The sequence below is a fragment of the Homo sapiens genome, chromosome 8 (genome assembly GCF_000001405.40).
Source record: "Homo sapiens chromosome 8, GRCh38.p14 Primary Assembly".
NCBI lineage: Eukaryota > Metazoa > Chordata > Mammalia > Primates > Hominidae > Homo > Homo sapiens.
This window is the reverse complement of record NC_000008.11, coordinates 114,897,225-114,898,375: the sequence shown is the minus strand read 5'-3', so window position 1 is coordinate 114,898,375 and position 1,151 is coordinate 114,897,225.

Genomic DNA, 1,151 nt, shown 5'->3' with positions numbered 1-1,151 from the left:
GCCAAATGTCTCCAATTCTTTATCAGGTTTTAAAGAATATTTTATTATATAACCTTTTCCACATCTTTCTCCCCTACTTAATGATTCCTTACTACATTGTTTCATAAATAACCTTTTCAAATCTGTAATTTTAACTAAATTTAAATAACCTCTGAATTAGACAAAATTATTCTTTTGTTCACTAATAACATAACCCTTTCTGGCACATTTTGTATACAGAATTATGTTAACTATAATTTTTATCTTTAGTAACCTAAAACTTTAGTGAAACCCTAAAAAGCAAGAAATCCTGAACTATCAGATATGGGCATTTATGGATAAGAACAACTCCACAATTTTGGAAACATATTTCCCCATATCAAAATTATTTCTTAATTGGAAATGACCCAGATATTAAATGAGCATCAAAAATAACTTCAATATTTTAATTCACACAAAAAGTTTACCTAAAACATTCATCCTCTTCATTGTACTCAATTCTTTCACTTTTAACAAGAGAGACAGAAGACATCAATCAACATATGTAAAATGAACATTGGTTTCCTCTGGAAAGGCAGGACACCCCAAAGCGGGGAGGGAGGTTGTGGCTTCCAGGTCACGGGTAAGCGTGAGATGAACAGTTGCCTTCTTTCAAGTTTCTGATTAGCCTTTCCAAAGGATGCAATTAAACATGCATTTTTCTCAGTAAGACTTTGAATAGAATGGGAGGGAGGCTCGCCCTAACTGTCTCCAGCTTGAATTAACACTAATATTTAAAAATATCTAGCAAATACAAACATGAAATTCAGATAAAGTGTATGCTGACAATTCTGAAGGCATTTCTATTTTTACTCCACTAATAATTTTAAAGCTAGCTTGTTTAGTAAAGTTATACTTAAGTCACATAAACTTGAAAATTGCTTAGACTTATTTACTTTATTTATGAGCACTCCTTTACTTACAAGCAAATTTGGTAGATACACCATATAACAATAAGTGTACGTACAAATGAACACATCTAGACATGTATACACACACATAAATGAAGATCCAATGTCTTGGAACCTTAGCCATGAGATAGCAATACAAGCTTGCTGGTTTTACTTTGCCCCAATAGATAATCCAATGAAGGCTGTGAACCAAAATTTCCAGTAAAACAGTCTCCATAGCAG